We start from the raw sequence: 22987 nt of genomic DNA on the forward strand, positions 1-22987 counted from the left end.
TTCAGAGTATGTTGTATTGTGTAATATTTATAAAAAGAAATGTGAAAATCCCTAACTATAGTGCATGTCTTTGTATAATCCTAGTGAAAGGTGCAGGCGGCTGTATAACCCAGGCCCCGCACATCTATTACCACGGATTTGGGTATGGAGGCAGTGGCAGAGACATGAAATTATTAACTTTTTCTTTACATATCTTTGGAATGTTTTGTTTTTTTTTTTTTTTTCATTTCTTGCAGTGATCTCATACTTACTTTGGAATTAAATTTTTAGGTATAATTTTAAAGTATGGGTGGTAGTTTTTGTGAAATTTAGAAAAAAGAAGTGAAGAAGAATGTGTTTGTGCATCTCCACACTGTTATATTTTTTTCCTGTGGGAAGATATTTTTCGAAGTGGAGCAGAGCTTGTGTGTGTTCCAGGGTATGCTATATCCCATAGAAAGCACACCTCAAGACTGATTCCATGTTTAGCAAGTTATCTCCACATTAAAACTTTAATTTATCAGTTTCGTGCATATCATATCATGCACATAAGTGCCCTGAACCTGAATATTCCTGTCCTAAAAGGATATACTTCTCATTCTAAATCAATATATTGATATTCTGATTTGGGAAAGATAAAGCCAGTCTGGGGTTTTATAGGAATAGATCAGCTCATCAGATCCTGATAACTCTTGAGTAAACTGGTAAAATAGAGTTACCAAAACCACAAGGCTAAGACCTGGACTCCTGGCTTTACAGAGATTCATCCAATATCCACCCCTTCCAAGGAGAGCCAGCCAGCTTCACCCATGGTCGGCTTGGTGGTTTGTTTACTGGCCTGCATTATCACCTACCTACTTGTCTTTATTCTCTCTGCAGGTCCCAGAGGTTTGTCTTTTATGTCAAATTTTTCTGTAGAACTTCACCCAGCATCTAGATACAGTTTATTGACAATGAAAACAAAACAAACAGACATAGAACACAGTGATGGGAATACAGGTGGTTATTCTTGAGGGACTGCATGAAGCACAGTTGGACAAATAGCCAGTCCTCTTTATCTGCAGGGATGAGGGCAGGGACAGAAATCAGACTCCCTGTCTGCTTTTACTCATAGGAGACTGAGTTTGCTTTTCATTGGGTCCTAGACTTCCAAGTCAACCCTACTACATCCAAGTCATCAAAGGATGAATGAGGGAGGAGAGAAGGGTATACTTTCATCCCTGTCCTCCAAAAGAGATATCCTGGAAAATGCACTTTTAAAGTCATAACTATCATTTGAGGCCCAGGTAAGAGAACATCAATAGGAAACAAAGCAAGATGGTAAAGGAAAAGAAGAGCAATAAGAATGCTTGGTGCGAAGTAGGGTCATGTGGCTGTTTGTCTGCAGCCTGCCTGATTCATGGCTAACTAGACAAAATGTTCAGACCAGGTCACCAGTTTTTAGATATGTAATTGAATGGTTATCTACTATGGGAATGGTATAAACTAAAAATATTATAAAACATCTCTCTAGAAATCCTGTGTCATTAATACAATTTAAAAAGTACTAACTGGGCCAGGTGCAGTGGGTCACACCTGTAATCCCAGCACTTTGGGGAAGGCTGTGGCGGGCAGAGCACTTGAGGTCAGGAGTTCAAGACCAGCCTGGCCAACATAGTGAAACCTTGTCTCTACTAAAAGTACAAAAAAATTTAGCTGGACATGGTGGCGCACTCTTGTAGTCCCAGCTACTCAAGAGGCCAAGCCAGGAGAATCACTTGAAGCTGGGAGGTGGAGGTTGCAGTGAGCCAAGATCCACCACTGCACTCCAGCCTGGATGACAGAGCGAGAATCCATTAAAAAAAAAAAGTATTTATTGAACACCTACTCTGTGCCAAACACCGTTTTACTGAGTGGCAAACAACAGTGAACACCTTTGTAGTGAAAGGCAAGACAGAGACCCAGAAAAAACAAACAAGGGAGTGTAGTTTGTGATACTGGGGCCAAATGAAAGACTCTTGTTATAAATTTGATGGACTTTTAGGGGATGGGAAGATCACAATCTGCTGAAAGAGTCAAAGAAAGCTTACATGTTGAGCCAGGCATTTAGGGATGGATTTGATTTACAAAAGCAGAGAGGAAAAGGAAACATATTTCATATGAGATTGAATAGCATAATAATGAAAACATTTACAAAGTGCTTTACAGTTTGCAGAGCATTTTCGCATTCATGATTCAGAGTGAAAATAAGCCAAGCTTTTCAGAGCCAAGTGTTGAGACCAATCTGACTTAGTAGAAAGTAATCATTCCTTCTTACCTCTCTCTCCTGTCTTCCCTTTCCTGATCAGGGTTCACGGTTTCATATTGACTTCTTAATCCAAAGCCCTTTTATAGGGGATTTCTTCTACAAAGAAGTGGCAAAGAGAATGAGAAGGCTGCATTTCTTAAAGAAAATGCATCTTAATGCTTGTATGGGTGTGTGTATGGTGCACGTGCATGTATATGTGTTTGCTAACAGTTGGCACAAGACACTTTCTTTTTTTTTTTTGGTCTGTTTATTTGAGATGGAGTTTCACTCTGCTGCCCAGGCTGGAGTGCAGTGGCATGATCTCGGCTCGCTGCAACCTCTGCCTCCCGGGTTTAAGCAATTCTCCTACCTCAGCTCCCAAGTAGCTAGGATTACAGGCATGCACCACCATGCTGGCTAATTTTTGTATTTTCAGTAGAGATGAGGTTTCACCATGTTGGCCAGGCTGGTCTCAAACTCCTGACCTCAAGCAATCCATCTACCTTGGCCTCCCAAAGTGCTGGTATTACAGGCATCAGCCACCACACCCAGCCAACACTTTCTATATGGGATGAACAAGACATTTTGTGCTTTATAATCCCAGTGTAGATATCTTCTGGACTTTGAAGAACTTCCCTTTTCTAGCCAATCTTCTGTCTTCTCCCTTTCTTTTTTTTTTTTATTATACTTTAAGTTTTAAGGTACATGTGCACATTGTGCAGGTTAGTTACATATGTATACATGTGCCATGCTGATGCACTGCACCCACTAACTCGTCATCTAGCATTAGGTATGTCTCCCAATGCTATCCCTCCCCCCTCCCCCCACCCCACAACAGTCCCCAGAGTGTGATATTCCCCTTCCTGTGTCCATGTGATCTCATTGTTCAATTCCCACCTATGAGTGAGAATATGCGGTGTTTGGTTTTTTGTTCTTGTGATAGTTTACTGAGAATGATGTTTTCCAGTTTCATCCATGTCCCTACAAAGGACATGAACTCATCATTTTTTATGGCTGCATAGTATTCCATGGTGTATATGTGCCACATTTTCTTAATCCAGTCTATCATTGTTGGACATTTGTGTTGGTTCCAAGTCTTTGCTATTGTGAATAATGCCGCAATAAACATACGTGTGCATGTGTCTTTATAGCAGCATGATTTATAGTCCTTTGGGTATATACCCAGTAATGGGATGGCTGGGTCAAATGGTATTTCCAGTTCTAGATCCCTGAGGAATCGCCACACTGACTTCCACAATGGTTGAACTAGTTTACAGTCCCACCAACAGTGTAAAAGTGTTCCTATTTCTCCACATCCTCTCCAGCACCTGTTGTTTCCTGACTTTTTAATGATTGCCATTCTAACTGGTGTGAGATGGTATCTCATTGTGGTTTTGATTTGCATTTCTCTGATGGCCAGTGATGATGAGCATTTTTTCATGTGTTTTTTGGCTGCATAAATGTCTCCTTTTGAGAAGTGTCTGTTCATGTCCTTCGCCCACTTTTTGATGGGGTTGTTTGTTTTTTTCTTGTAAATTTGTTTGAGTTCATTGTAGATTCTGGATATTAGCCCTTTGTCAGATGAGTAGGTTGCGAAAATTTTCTCCCATTTTGTAGGTTGCCTGTTCACTCTGATGGTAGTTTCTTTTGCTGTGCAGAAGCTCTTTAGTTTAATTAGATCCCATTTGTCAATTTTGTCTTTTGTTGCCATTGCTTTTGGTGTTTTAGACATGAAGTCCTTGCCCATGCCTATGTCCTGAATGGTAATGCCTAGGTTTTCTTCTAGGGTTTTTATGGTTTTAGGTCTAACGTTTAAGTCTTTAATCCATCTTGAATTGATTTTTGTATAAGGTGTAAGGAAGGGATCCAGTTTCAGCTTTCCCTTTCTTAACTCAAAGTAGACCTGTTCCTCCTCACTGTTTCACCACCCCGCCTCCCTTTCACACCTCTCCTGGTTCTGTCCACTCCTCTGCCTACGTAACCAGGCCCTACTACCACCCTTCTGTTTTCAGGCCAAGCCCTACCTCCTTCACAAGCTCTTCTCCAGTTACAAATGCAACTGATTATCATTTGCACCCCTCTTCATCTCTGCAGTAGTTCTTAATTTCGTGGGGGGCATATTATATACCCTTAAGAATGTGATGAATGCCTTGGACCCTGGACACATATACACAAAAAATATGTGTCTAATCTCAGGGGATCATGTTCCCCTGAAAACATTGCTTTTCTAGATCACATTTGTTTAGAACAAACCATATACTTCACTGCCTTAAAATATACTTTTATATCATTTTGCCTAATATATATCTTCATAATTAGACTAACCTTGAGGAGAAAGCTGTTGTAGAATTTTTTGGTATCCTCATAGAACTTGGTTAAATGTAGAGCACATAGCGGTATTTAATGGAAAAGGAATGAATAAACCAACTAGGGTTCATCTATGCAATGGCATAGCATTCAGTGATAAAAATAAGCTATCAAGCCACAGAAAGACATGGAGGGGCCTTAAATGCATACTGCACTGTGAAACAAGCCAATCCAAAAAGGCTGCATACTGTGTGATTCCAACTATGATATTCTGGCATAGGCAAGACTATGGAGACATGAAGAAGACAGTGGTTTCCCAGGATCTGGGGGAGACAGAGGGGATGAACACGTGGAGCACAGATGATTTTCAGGCCAGTGAAACTATCCTGTCTGGTACTGCAATGGTGGATGCATGTCATTAAACATTTGTCAAAACTCATAAAATGTACAACACAAAGAGTGAACCTTGATGTAAACTATGGTCTTGAGTTAATGATAACATATCAATATTGGCTCATTGATTGTCATAAATGTACCACATTAATGTAAGATGTTAATGATAGAGGAAACTGGAAGGAGGGCCAGGTTTATATGGAAATGCTGTTTTCTGCTCATTTTTCTAAAAATGTAAAACAGCTCTTAAAAAATAAAGTCTATTAATCTAAAAAAAGAAGAGAAGTTTCCGATTTTGGCTGCAGCCTCTAATGACCATTGGGATAAAGAAGAGGCAATGCCTTAATACAATGCATGTATTTTAACTTTTTGAAAATTGTATCCGTCATTGTTAAGCTCAGTTAAACTTGCGCTTGACATGTCGACACAATGTCCATTTTTAAATGAACTAACAGAATTGGTAAGATATGCTCTCATGATAGAGACTCAGCCAATTCTAATGTCAATGAAAGGCTCCACATTTAATGTACACGTTTCAACATGAAGAAAATCCATTAAAATATAATTAGCGAGTTTTACACATAAATAGAAAGAAGGCCTACCTAGACCTTGCTGCCATTTAAAAGAGTTCTTTCTTCTTTGTCTGTTTTTGTATTTTTCACAGAAGCTTTGAGGAAGAGCCATAACTACCTGGAGCAGAATGATTATTTGGAGCCACAGAAAATCATTTTAGGGAGCAGTGGGTCCAGGTTCAGTGTTGTGTGTTCAACTCGGAAAGAACACAGTTGGGTGGCTGACCGGGTTACTTCTCCCCTGTGGCTCTGCTTGCATTGGTCATTGAGGTCAGGCAGGGGTTTGGCCACAGTGTTAGCCATTGGCCCTGCATTGATCCTCACATAGTAACATCTTGTTTGGTTATTAAAGTGACTGAATTGTTGGAATGAAGCATTGCAAAGTCTTGTTATTCCATCCATCTTCACAAAGACTATAAACTAACTTCACCATGTAGTGACTCAGCTGGTTGGCTAGAAAGTACCTTGTAAGATGGCCTATTCTGCCAACATTTCCTATCCCAAACAAATCTCCCAACTCTCACCAACTCTTTACATTCCTGTGTAGTCTTTAGGGTGAGGGGCTGGGAGTGGGATGGAGGAAAAGGTAGACGAATGAAGTAAAGGGTCAGTGCACAGGCAGTAAGTACTGCTGACCACTGTAATGTCCACTCACAGCTGAGATACAGTGTTCAAACTTCCCTCAAAAAAGCCACACTGCCCTCAGAGTGACTCCTTGGACCCCAGCCATGGATCTGGCCACAGCATTCATTTGATTCCATGCATTACCTCCTTGAATAATTATAAAAATTATGTTTTCCAAATAGAACAAAGAGATGCTTCCTGAAATTCTTCTCCTTGGAACACTCATGATATGCATTCAAAGTGCTTAGCCTGGGGGTCGCCATTGTGTACACACAATAAATCTTAGTGTATCAAGAATTCAGGCAGTCATGAAGCTCAAATGACAAGAATTTTTATTTTTATTTTTTTTAACAGACAGAAGTCAGGGAGGGCAGTCATTGCTTAGACAATGAGATTCAAGCAAGTGCTGTTCTAAATCTCTGAGCTCTGTAGGGGAGAAGATGGATGAAGCAGGCAGCTTGAAGAGGGAGACACGCCAGCCAGAAGGAAAAGAAAGAAGCCGGTGAAGCAGGAAGAGAAGAAAACACGAAAGGGTAGGAAGATGAGAAATGGATGCCAAGGAGAGGGAGAAAGAGATTGTCAGCAAGGGAGGCGAACCGAGGAGAAAACAGGGAGATTCCCGCATGGGTGGAGCCAAGTTTCCACTGTGCTGTGAGCAGAGGAAGCCAGGTGTATTGTTCCTGAAACTACGTTATTAACTGCCTAACATATGGCTCACAAGGTACACGTGGAAGCGAGAGCAGGAAACAAAATGCAAGTCAGCTGGGCTAACGCTGAAAAATAGTGATCTGTGTCAGTTTTGAGAAGTGTGAGAATAGAAACCTTCTATGCAGGAGATCAGCATCTTTGTCTGTTTCCTACACCGAGGCTCAAAGAGAACATTTGCTCCCAAACCATGGTAGTTCTGTTTCAGATAAAGTTGTCTCATACCAACCATAATTCATGTTCCTGATCGTGACCCTGAAGCACAAGAACCCAAGGAAGCTTCGGAATTTTCAAAGAAAAATGAATTACGTAGAGTGGTGTGACCAGCAAATGCAGTTTGAATTTTAAGTGTGTATTCTAATTTTTTAGAAGATTCTGATTCCGTGTGTGAAAGATTGAATTACCCTCCATTTTCTAGGATGTGGCCCATTTGCCAGCCAGTCTGGACCTCAGATCTTAGTTCTGGTTCTGTAACTTCAGTTGCCTGCCAGACATTTCCATCTGGGAGCCCTGTCCTCACTCTGAAACATTCTCAGAACCAGCCTCCTTCTCCACCTGCCGTCAGACATTAGCACCATTCCTCTCCCATTGTCACCTTTGATTGTCTCTTCTTTACTTCCATACACTGCTTTTTTTTTTTTTTTTTTCCGACAGTCTCACTCTGCCACCCAGAGTATAGTGGTGCAATCCCTGGTCACTGCAGCTTCCACTTCCTGGGCTCAAGCAGTCCTCTCACCTTAGCCTCCCGAGAAGCTGACACCACAGGTGCACGCCATCAAGCCCAGCTAATTTTTTTTTTTTTTGAGACAGTCTCACTTTGTTGCCCAGGCTGGAGTGTAGTGGCACAATCTCGGCTCACTGCAAACTCTGCTTCCCGGGTTCAAGCAATTCTCCTGCCTCAGCCTCCCCCAAGTAGCTGGGACTATAGGCGCACGCTGCCATGCTGGCTAATTTTTTGTATTCTAGTAGAGATGGGGTTTCAGCGTGTTGCCCAGGTTGGTCTTGAACTTCTGAGCTCAGGCAATCTGCCTGCCTCGGCCTCCCAAGTGCTAGGACTACACCATGCCTGGCCTAATTTTTAAATTTTTTTGTAGAGATGGGTTTTTGTCATGTTGCTCAGGCTAGTCTTGAACTTCTGAGCTCAAAAGATACACCCCCCTTTGGCTTCCCAAAGTGCTGGAATTACAGGCATGAGCCACCACGCCCAGCCCAATATGCTGCCAAATTTTTCTTCAAATGATTTCCTAGTTCCTTCCTTGCCATTCTTGCTGCCCTGAATTAAGCCCAGGTCCTCATTTATTGGCTTCCCACTTGACTCCTTCTATTTTAGCCAGCACACATGTTGTAGAACAACTTCCTTAATGTGGCTTTCACTTGGCTTCTGACTCAGAGTGTATGAGGTCTCCTAATTTCCTAGGGCAGTAGGCCTGGCCCTACCCCACAAGCCTCATTACCGTTTTATCTGCCCATATCCCATCACCCTCTATCCACATCTTGTTATCCAGTGGAGAGTTTCCACTTCTAGGTTCCAAGCCAGAAATGTGTGGATCATTCTGTCTTCCCTCACTTCCTTAAACAACCCGTCGGCAAGTCCCACAGACTGGATCTCCAGAGTTTCCCTGTAGCTCTTTTCTCCATGCTCACCACCCTAGTTTAGGGCAATGCCACCCTTTATTGAGACTCTGGAAGAACCTCCTGACAGTTCCTGCTCCCCTCTGGCCCCGTCAATCCATTTTCTACACAGTGGCCCAGAATGTTTAAAAATGCAAATCAGGTTGTATCATGCCTCCAGTGGCTTCTCATTGCACCTAGGGTAAAATCCAAGATCCTTATAGTAGCTTCCAAGGTCCTGCATGGCTTATCCTCTCCCTCCCTCCTCGAAGACCTCAATGCACCTGACTGAACTGATCTCAGCACGTTTCCACCTCTGGCCAGGCTCTCTACCTAATGACCCTCCTCCCTGCTTTTTGATCCATTCCACCTCTCATCTCCTAGGTCTTGGCTTAAATATCTTCAGAGAAGCCCTTCTGGACTTCCTTCAGTAGTGTCATTCCCACTTCCCGCCACTATTCTTATTACCTGTTTATTTCCTTCATACCTTTTTATCATTTGCAATGATTGTGTTTGTTTCCTCATCTTTTTTCTGCCTCCCCCAGACCTGAAGCTCCGAAAGACCCCGGAGTGTTTGTCTTGTTAACCATCGTTTCTCCAGCTGTCCACGCAATGGTCAATATGTTAGCTATTATAATTACTATTTTAATATTACTGTTTCTTGATGATTTCAGACTCTTTGGATAGAATATTCTCCCTTCTATCTGAGAGTGTTTGTGACCTTCTCATATTTCCTCATGTCCTCTGGAATCCTGACCTAAATTTTTAGTCTTTTCCTATCAGTTATCAATTGCTTACTTGTTGTTTTCATGTTTAAAAACTCATTCAACTCCATCCAAACTTTCTTCTTCTTCTTACAAAATAGTTTATAGCTAACTATATTTCCTTACTCTCATTTGTTCCTTCCCTGTATTCAGTGTCTCCCCATCAATATCTTTTATTACTCCAGAATAATTTCAGAAACAGTTTGAGACAGTTTTAAAAATAATGCCGCTGGCATTTTACTAGGGATGACATTAACCTTATCAGTTAGTTTGAGGGAAATCAGTATCTTTGCAATATCAAAACTCTTCCTAATCAAGGACAGACCACATTTTTCCATTTATGTGTTTTTAAATAAAATAATGTTTTCTTTGTATTGGCTTTTTAACATTATTGTTAAATTCCCCTTCAACATTTAACTGTTTCACTACAATATGTCTAAATCTAGGTCTGTTTTTTATTAATTTGGGCTAACATATGATGAGCTTTGATCTACAAATGCAGGTCTTGCTTCAACTTAAAAATATTTTCTTTTCTAATATCTTTAAATAGCTCTTCTGTTCTTTTTTTCTCTCTCCTTCAAAACTAGATTTCTATCACCTGTCTTTCTATGTCTAGACCTTGTTTCTGATAGTTTTGATCTCTTTGTCCTTTTTTTTTCTTTTTTGTGAGGCAGGTTCTTGCTCTGTCACCCAGGCTGGTGTGCAGTGGCACAACTCAGCTCACTGCAACCTCTGCCTCCCAGGCTCAAACAATCCTTCTACCTCAGCCTCCCAAGTAGCTGGGACCACAGGCACTTGCTACCATGCCCAGCTAATCTTTGTCCTTTTCTTTTGCATTACAGAATACAGTCCTATGCTTAGCTTTCTTTTCACTGATTGAATTATCTTCCATTGCCAGTTGTAACCACTGTGGTTGCTAAGTTTATTTACAATTCTTCCATGTCATTATTATTATTATTTGATACAGAGTCTCCTTTTGTCACCCAGGCTAGAGTGCAGTGGCCTGATATCTGCTCTCTGCAACCTCTGCCTCCCAGGTTCAAGCGATTCTTCTGCCTCAGCCTCCCAAGTAGGTGGGACTACAGATGCACGCCACTGTGTCTGGCTAATTTTTGTATTTTTAGTAGAGATGGGGTTTTACCACATTGGCCAGGTTGGTCTCAAACTCCTGACCTCAGATGATCCACCCACCTTGGCCTCCCAAAGTGCTGGGATTACAGGTGTGAGCCACCACGTCCAGTCACATTATTTTCTTAACTGTGTCAACTCTCTCATATCACTTTGTTGGCTTATCTCATTCTTACCTTTTATTTCATGGAGTCTGAGATTTTTATCTGTCCCTCCATCAAATGTAGTTTAAATATTGTTTTAAGTGTTGTTCAAATGTATTTCCATTTTCTACAGTAACATTTTTTCTTTAAAATATTCAATTTTAACACTTCTTGAGTGCTACGTGTATCCATTTTCTCGTTACAGAATAGTTGCATAGGTTACACGTGATATAGTTTGGCTGCATCCCTAACCAAATCTCATCTTGAACTGTAGCTCCCATAATCCCTACATGTTGTTGGAGGGACCCAGTGGGAGGTCATTGAATCATGGGGGTGTGTTTTTTCCATTCTGTTCTCGTGATAGTGAATAAGTCTCTAGAGATCTGATGGTTTTATAAAGGCCAGTTCCCGGCTGTTCGCAGTGGCTCATGCCTGTAATTCCAGCACTTTGGGAGGCTGAAGTGGGTAGATTACCTGAGGTTAGGAGTTCAAGACCAACCTGGCCAACATGGTGAAGCCCCATGTCTGCTGAAAATACAAAAATTAGCTGGGTGTGGTGGCGTGTGCCTGTAATCACAGCTACTCCAGAGGCTGAGGCAGGAGAATCACTTGAACCTAGGAGGTGGAGTTGCAGTGAGCTGAGATCACTCCACTGCACTCCAGTCTGGGTGACAGAGTGAGACTTGGTCTCAAAAGAAAAGAAGAAGAAGAAGAGGAAGAGGAAGAAGAAAGAAGAAAGAAGAAGGTGGTGGCAGTTCCCCTGCACATGCTCTCTTGCCTGCTGCCATGTAAGATGTGCTCCTCCTTTGCCCTCTGCCATGATTGTGATGCCTCCCCAGCCATGTGGAACTGTGAGTCCAATAAACCTCTTTTTCTTTACAAATTACCCAGTCTCTGGTATTTCTTCATAGCAGTATGAAAATGAACTAAACAGTAAATTGGTACTGGTAAAGTGGGGTACTGCTGTAAATATACCTGAAAATGTGGAAGTGACTTTGGAACTGGGTAACAGACAGAGGTTGGAACAGTTTGGAAGGCTCAGACGAAGACAGGAAAATATGAGAAAGTTTGGAACTTCCTAGAGACTTGTTGAATGGCTTTGACTAAAATGCTGATAGTGATATGGACAATAAAGTACAGGCTGAGGTGGTCTCAGACGGAGATGAGGAACTTGTTGGGAACTGGAGCAAAGGTGACTCTTGTTATGCTTTGGCAAATAGACTGGCAGCATTTTGCCCCTGCCCTAGAGATCTGTGGAACTTTGAACTTGAGAGAGACGATTTAGGGTATGTGGTGGAAGAAATTTCTAAGCAGAAAAGTATTCAAGAGGAAGCAGAGCATGAAAGTTTGGAAAATTTTCAGCCTGATGATGCAATAGAAAAGAAAAACCCATTTTCTGGAGAGAAATTCAAGCCTGCTGCAGAAATTTGCATAAGTAAGGAGCCCAATGTTAGTCACCAAGACAATGGGGAAAATGTCTCCAGGGTATGTCAGAGACCTTTGCAGCAGCCCCTCCCCTCACAGGCCCAGAGGTCTAGGGGGAAAAAATGGTTTCCTGGGCCAGGCCCAGGCCCCCACTGTGTGCAGCCTAGGAACTTGGTGCTGTGAGTCCCAGCCACTCCAGCTGTGGCTAAAAGGGGCCAAGGTACCACTTGGACTTGTGGCTTCAGAGGGTGCAAGTCCCAAATCTTAGCAGCTTTTACATGGTTTGAGCCTGCAGGTGCAAAAAAGTCAAGAATTGAGGTTGGGGAACCTCCACTTAGATTTCAGAGGATGAATGGAAATGTCTGGATGTCCAGGTGGAAGTTTGCTGCAGGAGCAGAGCTCTCATGGAGAACCTCTGCTAGGGCAGTGCAGAAAAGAAATGTGGGTTTGGAACCCCCACATGGAGTCCCCTCTAGGGCACTGCCTAGTGGAGCTGTGAGAAGAAGGCCACCATCCTCCAGACCCCAGAATGGTAGATCCACTGACAGCCTGCACCATACACCAGGAAAAGCTGCAGACACTCAACTGGGAAAGCAGCCAGAAGGGGGGCTATACCCAGCAAAGCCACAGAGGCAGAGCTGCCCAGGGCTGTGGGAGCCCAAGCTTGTGTCAGCATGCCCTGGATGTGAGACATGGAGTAAAAGGAGATCATTTTGTAACTTTAAGGTTTAATGATTGCCCTATTGGATTTCAGACTTGGATGGGGCCTGTAGCTCCTTTGTTTTATGGCCAATTTCTCCCATTTGAAATGGATGTATTTACCCAATGCCTGTATCCCCATTGTATCTAGGAAATAACTAACTTGCCTTTGATTTTACAGGCTCATAGGCAGAAGAGATTTGCCTTGTCTCAGATGAAACTTAGGACTTGGACTTTTGGGTTAATGCTGGAATAAGTTAAGACTTTGTGGGACTGTTGGGAAGGCATGATTGTGTTTTAAAATGTGAGGAAATGAGATGTGGGAGGGGCCAGGGGCAGAATTATATGGTTTGGCTGTGTCCCCACCCAAATCTCATCTTGAATTGTAGCTCCTGTGTGTCATGGGAGGGACACAGTGGGAGGTAATTGAAACATGGGGGTGGGTTTTTCCTGTGCTATTTTCATGATAGTAAGTCTCATGAGATATGATGGTTCTATAAACGGCAGTTCCCCTACATATACTCACTTGCCTGCCACCATGTAAGACATGCCTTTGCTCCTCCTTTGCTTTCCACCATAATTGTGAGGCCTCCCACCCATGTGAAACTGTGAGTCCATTAAACCTCTTTTTCTTTATAAGTTACTCAGTCTTGGTATTTCTTCATAGCAGTATGAAAATGGACTAATACAACATGTTTGTTTTTCCCTCTTAATATATTTTGGAATGAGGAAAGATCTCTCTTGACTATGCATTCCCCCAAAAGTAATGTGAATGGATTTCACAGCTTACCTGAAGTCAATTAGAATAATCCTTTTCCATCTTGAATTGGAGGATGGAATGAGATAAGTTCAGTGATCCATCAGGCAGATGGGTGTAGCAGGGATCCTGGTGGTGCTGGGGGTGTCCTAACAGCAATCCTGATCACAGCCATCAGTGGCGCTAGCCAGGTGCCAGGCCTGATTTGGAACATTGCATGTGTGTTTCCTTGTTTAATCCTCACAATCACTCTATGAGGTATATATATTATCATCATTCCCACTACATAGATGAGGAAACTGAGGGCTCAGTTAAGAAAGTTATCCAAGCTAATAATTAGCAGAATAAGCATTCAAACCCAGACTATCTGACTCCAGAATTCATGGTCTTAACTTTTATGTTATATTGCCTCACTTGCTCCTGGGCCTGGGGCTCCAGTGCCACAGCCCCCAAGGTAGGAGTGCTTCCTGTTCCTCAGTGGGCTCAACCTGAGGGTTCAGTGGGATGGACCTTCCACTTTCATCCCATGACACACAACTCTTTGAAGTGAGTTGAATTGTGAGTCTTCCTTCTAGTTCCTCCTTGTCTTAATATCTAGAATGAAAGTCTAGAACACATCCCTAGATTTTCTTTCTCTCTCTTTCCTTCCTTCTTTCCTTCCCTCCCTCCCTCCCTCCCTTCTTTTTCTCTTTCTTTCTTTCTTTCTTTCTTTCTTTCTTTCTTTCTTTCTTTCTTTCTTTCTCTCTCTCTCTCTCTCTTTCTTTCTTTCTTTCTTTCTTTCTTGTCTTTCTTTCTTTCTTCTTTTTTTTTTTTGAAACAGCCTGCTGCCCAGGCTGGAGTGCAGTGGCTCGATCTCAGCTCACTGCAACCTCTGCCTCTGGGTTCAAGCAATTCTCCTGCTTCAGCCTCCCGAGTAGCTGGGACTACAGGTGTGCACCACCATGCTTAGCAAATTTTTGCTTTTTTTTTTTTTTTTTTTGAGATGGAGTCTCGCTCTTTCACCCAGGCCAGACTGCAGTGGCGCTCTCTTGGCTCACTGCAAGCTCCGCCTCCTGGGTTCACACCATTCTCCTGCCTCAGCCTCCCAAGTAGCTGGGACTACAGGCGCCCGCCACCACGCCTGGCTAATTTTTTTTTGTATTTTTAGTAGAGACGGGGTTTCACCATGTTGACCAGACTGGTCTTGAACTCCTGACCTCAAGTGATCCACCTGCCTCAGCCTCCCAAAATGCTGGGATTACAGGCATGAGCCACTGTGCCTGGCCTATGTTATTTTATTTTATTTTATTTTATTTTATTTTATTTTAGAGACAGGGTCTCACTCTGTCACTCAGTCTGGAGTGCAGTGGCACAATCTTGGCTCACTGCAATCTCCACTTCCTGGATTCAAGTGATTCTCATGCCTCAGCCTCTCGAGTAACTGGGATTACAGGCGCGCTCTACCATACCCAGCTAATTTTTGTATTTTTAGTAGAGACAGGGTTTTGCCATGTTGCCCAGGCTGGTCTTGAACTCCTGACCTCAAGTGACCCAGCCGTCTTGGCCTCCCAAAGTGCTGGGATTGCAGGCATGAGCCACCGTGCCTGGCCTGTTTTTATTTTGGTATTTTTAGGAGTTTCTAGGAGCTGGGGATTGAACACCTATGCTCTGTTCCCCTTTTTCCAGGTCTCTCCCTCTGCCCTGTCTCCCTCTCTGTCTCCTGCTTCCTGAAACACTCTTCTGCCTTGCCTGCCATTCTGCTTCATTATCTCCAGGGTCTCTGGCTGTGCCCTCCCCATCCTCCCTCTCATCTGTCTGCACCTTGATTCCCCCTTGGCTCCATTCTCAGTTGTTCTTTTCTGTCTCCGCCCTCCTTGGTGACCTCACACACTCTAAAGCTTTCACCGCCATCCACACTGGTGTGTGGTCCCTGGCCTCAGCCCAGATGTCTCCCAAACTTCCTTTGAACAGTGATTGTCTGCCGAATGCTTCTACCTAGGGGGTTCACAAACTGGACAGCACACACTCCCATATGGAACACTGCACTGGTCACCTTTTCTCATTGAATGTGCCTTCCACTTGCTGGGGAGTCATCCTGGATTCCTGCCTCTGGTCTGGCCACTCTGCAGTCCAACTGCCCTCCCTGCTGTGGGCAGATGATCTCTCCCTTCCTCGAGTCCTCCAAAGCCTCCAGCGCCAGCTCTTCCATGTGGTCTCAGAGGTCATCAGGGATTTGATCACTTTTCACCTCATTGAACTTTGCTCTTTGCTGGATTCTGTTTCCTGCTCTGCCACCCAGGCTGGAGTGCAGTGGCACGATCATAGCTCACTGTATCCTTGAATTCCTGGGCTCAAGTGATCCTCCAGCCTCAGCCTCCTCCAGCCTCAGCCTCCTGAGCAGCTGTGATTACAGAGGTGTCCCACCACACCTAGTTAATTTTTTTTTTTTTTAGATGGAGTCTCGCTCTGTCACCAGGCTGGAGTGTAGTGGCGCAATCTCGGCTCACTGCAACCTCCGCCTCCCGGGTTCAAGTGATTCTCCTGCCTCAGCCTCCCAAGTAGCTGGGACTACAGGTGCCCACCATCATGCCCTGCTAATTTTTTGTATTTTTAGTAGAGACAGGGTTTCACCATGTTGGCCAGGATGGTCTCGATCTCTTGACTTCGTGATCCACCCACCTCAGCCTCCCAAAGTGCTGGGATTACAGGCGTGAGCCACCGCGCTCAGCCAATTTTTTTCTTTTTTTTAAAGACAGGGTCTTGTTGTGTTGCCCAGGCTGGTCTCAAACTCTTGGCCTCAAGCGATCCTCGTGCCTAAACCTCCCATGTATTTTCCCAGCTTTCTGCACAGCTTGGAGTTCCCTGTGTTTATTTTCCATGGCCTTGCCCCTGTCTGCTGGTAAATGGCCTTCTGGGGAGGGGAATAATCTCTGCTCTTTAGCATTTGCTGACATCTGTGGTGTAAATATTCCCATCACCGCCAATCTCAAACTACTAACATGACTTCATTGAATGTGGAGTTGGGTAGAGATGTTCAATAGCCACCATTAGACAGTATTTCCACCTTACAGATACAATAGACCTAAAACAAACCCTCAGCCAGGTGTGGTAGCTTATACCTGTAATCCCAGTATTTTGGGAGGCTGAGGCAGGTGGATTGCTTGAGCCCAGGAGATTGAGACCAGCCTAGGCAACATGGCAAAATCCCATCTCTACAAAAAAAAAAAATGCAAAAATTAGCCAGATGTGGTGGTGCATGCCTGTAGTCCCAGATACTTGGGAGGCTGAGGTAGGAGAATCACTTGAGCCTGGGAGGCAGAGATTGTGGTGAGCTGAGATCACACCACTGCCCTCCAGCTTGGGTGACAGAGTGAGACCCTGTCTCAAAAAAACAAAAACAAAACCCTCAAGGGCATAGATAATAGTAAATAGTAGTAAAATAATTAGGGAGTGATATATTTTTAGCATTTATTATCTTTAGTATTTTGTATTTTAGTATTTATAACCTTTATTTTTAATATAATTTATTTAATTGTAAACTTACATAATTTAATTATTAATAATGACCACATGTAACAGCTTGCTGGCAAAATTCCTGAACACTTAGCGAGCAGCCCTCCTGAGCTGGTTTGAGCTAGCTCCAGCGTGCTCCTGGCTCCCCTTCCTAGAGATCCCTCATCTCCACCGACATCTGGTCAATACTTATCCTTCCCTTAAGTCAGCTCTGCTCACAGTGGGAGTGTGTCCCTCTGCCACTCCATCACTGCTCTCCCCACATTGCAATGATCTATTTACACACCTGTCTCACCTCCTATTCCATGAACTTCTTGAGGGCAGAGGCTGTGTCTCATTTATCTTTGTAATCCCAGTATAGTGCCTGGAACATAGTACACATTTGGTGAATTATGATTTAAAGAATTGATGGTGCCTTTTCTGTTAGCACTATTCTTTTCTCATCTATCTCTATTTCTAATCACTTTGGGAAATGCTCTTGGCTGCATGATGAAACAGAGTGCCAGGTCTTCATAAAAAAAAAAAAAAAAAAGCTTGTTGATTGGGTAAACTCACCAAGCTGACTAGAGCAGTTTTAAGTATAAATTGTTTACTCATATACTGCCTGTGGCTATAGAATGCAAATTAATCACTTTGGCAAAGTGTTGTATTAGAGTTCTCCAGAGAGACAGGACCAATAGGAGATAGGTAGATAGATAGATAGATAGATAGATAGAACCAATAGGAGATAGATGATAGATAGATAGATAGATAGATAGATAGATAGATGATAGATAGATAGATAGATAGATAGATAGATAGATAGAACCAATAGGAAATAGATAGGTAGATAGATAGACACAACCAATAGGAGATTAGATAGATAGATAGATAGATAGATAGATAGATAGATAGATAGATAGACAGACAGAACCAACAGGAGATAGATACATAGGTAAATAGATGATAGGTAGATAGAGATAGAGAGTTATAGATATATGAGAAGGGATTTATTTGGGGAATTGGCTCACAAACTATGGAGGCTGAGAAGTCCCATGATAGGTTATCTACAAGCTGGAGACTCAGTGATGCTGACAGCATGGCTCAGTCCCCGTCTAAAGGCCTCGGAACCTCAGAACCAGGGGAGCTCATGCTGTAACTCTCAGTCCGAGGCTGAAGGCTTGAGAACTTGAGGGGGTCTGCTGGTACAAGTTCCAGAGTCCAAAGGCCAGAGATCTTGGAATTCTGATGTCCAAGAGCAGGAGAAAAAGGGTGTCCCAGCTCCGAGAGTGAGTGTGGATTCACCTGCCTTTTTGTTCTATCCAGGTCCAAAGCTGAATGGGTGGTGCCCGTCCATGTTGAGGGTGAATCTTCTCCACTCAGTCCACCAACTCACATGCCAGTCTCTTCTGAAAACACCCTCACAGACACACCCAGAAAGAATGCTTCACCAGCTATCTAGGCATCCCTTGAGCCAATCAAGGTGACACCTAAAATTAACCATCATAGTGATAATTTAAGGCATTAAGGACATCATTTCATGTCCTGCAGCTCTTTAAGCCCAGGCTTGGTCATTTTCAATAAGTGGAAATTAACTTTTTTTTTTTTTTGAGACAGGGTCTCGCTCTGTCACCCAGGCTGGAGTACAGTGGTGTGATCTCGGCTCACTGCAACCTCTGTTTCACGGGCTCAATCAATTCTCCAACCTCAGCCTCCCAAATAGCTAGGATTACAGGCATGAGCCACCAATGCCTGACTTTTTTTTTCTTTTTGGTAGAGATGGGGTTTTGCCATGTTGCCCAGGCTGGTCTCAAACTTGTGAGCTCAAAACAATCCTCCCACTTTGGCCTTCCAAAAGGGATTACAGAGGTGAGCCACTGTGCCCGGCCTGGAAATTACCATTCTAAGTCATCTTTGTGACTGCTGTGACTGCCAGGAAATCAGAGTAGTCCACCAGGAAGAGTTATCTCTTGGGCTGAACAGAACAGTGGTTGAGTGTCTCTGGTGTGACAGGTGCTATATTCGCCATGGGGATAGATGAATGGAAAGGAATTTGTAAAGGTATTGACAATGTTTTTTGAGTTTTTAAACAGGATGCTTGTCATTTTAATGACACAGACTCTAATTTCTAAGCATTTTTAGAGGGATGCATATTTTTGTATACTATTAACTGCATAGTCTTCTTTCTTAGAATGCCTAATTTACCAGACATTGACAGAACTTTAGCTCAAGCCTCACTAAGAAGACGTAGCAGTGCACGCTCTGGGATTATTTTATACTTCACTAGGATGACTTATTTATAGAACAGAATCTTTTTGCTTTCCTACAAGATTCAACAGTTCTATTAAGCAACAGCAAAAGAAACAGCTACTTCTCCAGAGCAGACTTCAATCTTAAGCAAGATTTATATTTCAAAAATAAATATTTAAAAGCAAATCATAACAGAGCTAAAACCAACAATACCACATATACCCAAACTATGCCAGTGAGTCTGGGTCCATATCTTGTAGGAATTATATGTTTCTGAAAACCTAGAGAGATTTTATTCTCTCCCTAAAGAAAAGTTTAAGGTCTTATTCTATCCATACACACACACATCAGACTGAAAAGCAAAATCAGAAGACTGAGTTCACCTGAATTTAATTCAAATTCGAGGAAGTAGCATTTGAAATAGCTTATTTTTTGACTGGATTCAACCTGAAGTATATTGTGATTTCTCAATATCTCCTTCCACAGGGAAACATTATTTCTTGCCTATGATGGGTACAAATCTATATATACTCTGCACATACAGTCACTCTTTGTCACACTTGATAATGGGTCACATTTGTGGTGAACAGATGTTTCCTGAGAGTCTGAGACTCATGAGCAAAGCCGTGGTGTGGGTAAGAGGGATGAGCTGTTCTCACTGGATGCTTCAAAAGGGGCTGTGCTTACAATTAGTCTGAAAGCCAAATTATCCTTATTGAAGAAGGACAAAATGGCATGGGCAAGCTCTTATCTCCTGTCTTAGGACAGATGCTGCTTATGAAAATTGTCTGTACCTGTCTTTGATGATTCTGGACTAGAAATGGTTCCCTGGCATGACTGGGTGTCTTAGAAAGGACACTGTGGAGTTAACTTCTGGAAGGAAAGTCTAACATGATCTGCAGGCTCAATAACAGATAAAGGGAAAAAAGAAGGGAAAGAAGACAAAAGGAAAGGAGTTTTTCACTCTGACAAGAACCACATGAGTGACTAACCCTAAAGATGGAAATAGAAAATGACCTTTGGTGAGGGATATTTTCTGAACATTCAAAGCTGGATTTGACTGCTTTATAACATTTCAAATGGCATGGAATGTACTCTGTTGTGAATGAGAAATGCCCCCTTTAAAATGAGCAAAGCCTTAAGTTAGTCTACATGACAGTGACTCTGGCCAGGTAGAATATTTCAACCCTGCACTTCCTGGCCTGTACCCTTTCGAGCAATTGCATTTCATAAATTTCAGGAGCATGCCTGAAGCAGATGGTTGAGACATGGGAAGGATCATAAATCCGGGCCTCAATGTCTTCCAGCTCCCAAATTCAAGGCTCTGAAATGCTGGCCTTGGCACAACTTGGCATCCATGCCATGGAACAGTCTTCCACAGGTGGTAGTTCAGTATCTTATGTTTAGTTCTTATTGCCGTCCTTGAAAAGCAGCAGTATATAGGAATGGTAAAAGACCTCTCTTTTTCTTGTGTGCCATAAAAATAGCTAGATAGAAACTCTTTCCAGAGCAAAGAAAAGTAGGTTGAAATGTTCTACACTTTGTGGTTGAGGCTGAATTCCGACTGAGCAAATACACACAAATGAGGGGAGACAATATCAACCCCACAATGTTGGGGTGAACTCCTCGGTGACAGATGAAGAAACAAACACTCTCAGTGCAGTTATCCTCATATCAGATGCTTTACCCTGAACCAAACGTTTTTCCAGAAATTTTTTTCTCTGTTACCAAAGTAATACACATTCATTCTAGATTTTTGGAAGTTCAGACAAACATAAGGAAGAAAATCTCCTTTGCTTTTCCTGTACATGTACACGTGGAAAAACGTCCTTTGCCTTGGGTCGTGTTTTGTGGATTATGCCTAATTAAAGACAGTACTCTTCTTAGAGACCAGTATCAAAATGAGTTGAGGGGACTTGCAAGAAGGAATGAATGGAATGTATTCATTTCTCCACATTCCTATCCCCAGTTTTTGGGGAAAGGTGGTGAGCCCCTGTGTCTTGCATTGATAACACGAGAAGTACCTGAGAGTTTCCTGCGAGAAATGAGCAGTCACTGTACCTCATCTAAAGTGCTTTGAAGCCAAGCACGGTGACTCACGCCTGTAATCCCAGCACTTTGGGAGGCTGAGGCAGGTGTATCACTTGAGGTCAGGAGTTCAAGGCCAGCCTGGCCATCATGGCAAAACCCGGTCTCTACTAAAAATACAAAAATTAGCCAGGTGTGGTGGTGGGTGCCTGTAATCCCAGCTACTCAGGAGACTGAGGCAGGAGAATCGCTTGAACCGGGGTGGCGGAGGTTGCAGTGAGCCAAGACCATGCCACTGCACTCCAGCCTGGACAACAGAGCAAAACTCGGTCTCAAATAAATAAAATAAAATAAATAAAATAAAATAAAATAAAATAAAATAAAATAAAATAAAATAAAATAAAATAGTGCTTTGAATGCTTGAGAAGAACCTGGTGGGTCACTCAGTTCATCCTCTGAGGAGGCGCTCATTCCTGTTTGAGGATAAGAGTGGAGAAGAACATTTTGGGGAAGCCCTGGACCTTTCGTATTCGGCCTTTCAGAGACCTTCCAGTACTGGGTCACTGATGTCCCTTCAGGATGTGAGTAACCTCCACTGACTACTGCAGACCTCTGATCACTTCCTTTAGTGTAACTCGCTCTGCACAGCCACAAAAGATGGGCTGCTGCCTGGCTGAGGAAACACCCTTCTGGTCAAGGGGCTGAAGAAAATCTGTTGTCCGCTTGACTGAGGACGACTTCCTGACAAATGTTTCACATGGAAGAATAGGTCCAGGTTTCCATAGGTTTGTCCAAAGGTTTGGTTATGTTATATCCTGCTTCTTTTGAATGATAACATCCATCATAGAGTTATAGGCTGTGGTCACCTGTTCTCGGACCTTTGGTTGGGTCCCTGAATCACATGTAACTGTTTTTCTGTAATCATCATCAAATCCACCTTACCTGTGGCTCTAGAACTCAGCAACTCTAGAACACAGGGCTGTTAGTTTTCCAGATCTTCTTTGTAACTATGTTAAGCATTAAGAAATACTAGGTTCAGGGATGACAGGCATACAATGTGTATGTATCTTTTTCTGCCAAAATGAGGTGTGAATCAGTTAGCACATTTGAGACCTGGTACCCAAAACAGCCAGGATGAATGAGGTGAAGAAGGCACAGTGGGAGCCCTCAGGTGCCACTTCCTCTCCACTCTACAAAATCAGAAGTCTCTGTTGCTTGCATGTTATGTGGATGTGGTTTTCATTTTTCTGGCCCTTTTGGATTGGCTTTCTTTTGGACCGTTTGTGTGGCATTGATGCTGCCTTCCCCCAGCACGGCCTTTGCTTCTGCCTCTCCTAAATGAAGCACCCCACTGTCCAGATGGTACCATCTCTTCATTACAGAAAAATCATCTAAGTAGAAAGAAGTAGCGTTTGAGCCACATTGCTATGTAGTGTTGGGAGGAACAGTCTCTATCGACCCTCAGCTCACTTCCTGATCAACTCAGCCTATGGCTCAGACAATTGGTTTGTTTTCCACGAAGGTTTAAAGTGTGGAGTACATGGTTCCAACCCTCACCCTCTCACTCAGTTTTTCTGGGAAAATTAGCTGGCATGATACATTTCAGATTCAAAAAGCTGGACTCTGGGATGCCCTCCCCAAGATGGCAGAGCTTTGGGATGAAAACAGTGTCAGGTAAGGAGTTAAGTAGCCTTATCTTGGCCTAAGTTCACTGAACTGACCAAGCTTGATTGTATCCAGTTGGTCAAGTGGACACTCAACATGACTTTGCTGGAATCACAAGGTGGTTGTTGCCATTGGAGGAAAGAACAGATGTGGAAGGCCTCATACAAGGTGGGAAAATATAGTTCTCTGGAGTTCCAATG

At 43.0% G+C, this 22987-nt stretch overlaps 1 protein-coding gene across 5 annotated transcripts in view, besides 2 other annotated features; it reads left to right on the plus strand.

The window, feature by feature from the left end:
• Nucleotides 1-22987, plus strand: part of TBXAS1 (thromboxane A synthase 1) — a 242052-nt gene that overhangs the window by 13359 nt on the left and 205706 nt on the right. For 3 of the 5 annotated variants that reach the window (NR_159363.1, NR_159365.1, NR_159364.1), the window contains one exon: nucleotides 5610-5886. The exons of the other annotated variants lie outside the window; for them this stretch is intronic. The gene's annotated coding sequence lies outside the window, so the exon portion shown is untranslated. Of the gene's footprint in view, nucleotides 1-5609; nucleotides 5887-22987 lie in introns of those variants that run through there. 5 annotated transcript variants of the gene reach the window in all.
• Nucleotides 15390-15684: an enhancer, noted in NCBI's record as "tiled region #3006; HepG2 Activating DNase matched - State 8:EnhW". NCBI's record gives its function as "activates a minimal TATA promoter and a strong SV40 promoter by Sharpr-MPRA in HepG2 cells {active_cell/tissue: HepG2}" and the evidence as "EXISTENCE:reporter gene assay evidence [ECO:0000049][PMID:27701403]".
• Nucleotides 16956-17156: a silencer, noted in NCBI's record as "peak6784 fragment used in MPRA reporter construct". NCBI's record gives its function as "represses an SCP1 promoter by STARR-seq MPRAs in K562 erythroleukemia cells {active_cell/tissue: K562}" and the evidence as "EXISTENCE:reporter gene assay evidence [ECO:0000049][PMID:32103011]".

The sequence above is a fragment of the Homo sapiens genome, chromosome 7 (genome assembly GCF_000001405.40).
Source record: "Homo sapiens chromosome 7, GRCh38.p14 Primary Assembly".
Lineage (NCBI taxonomy): Eukaryota > Metazoa > Chordata > Mammalia > Primates > Hominidae > Homo > Homo sapiens.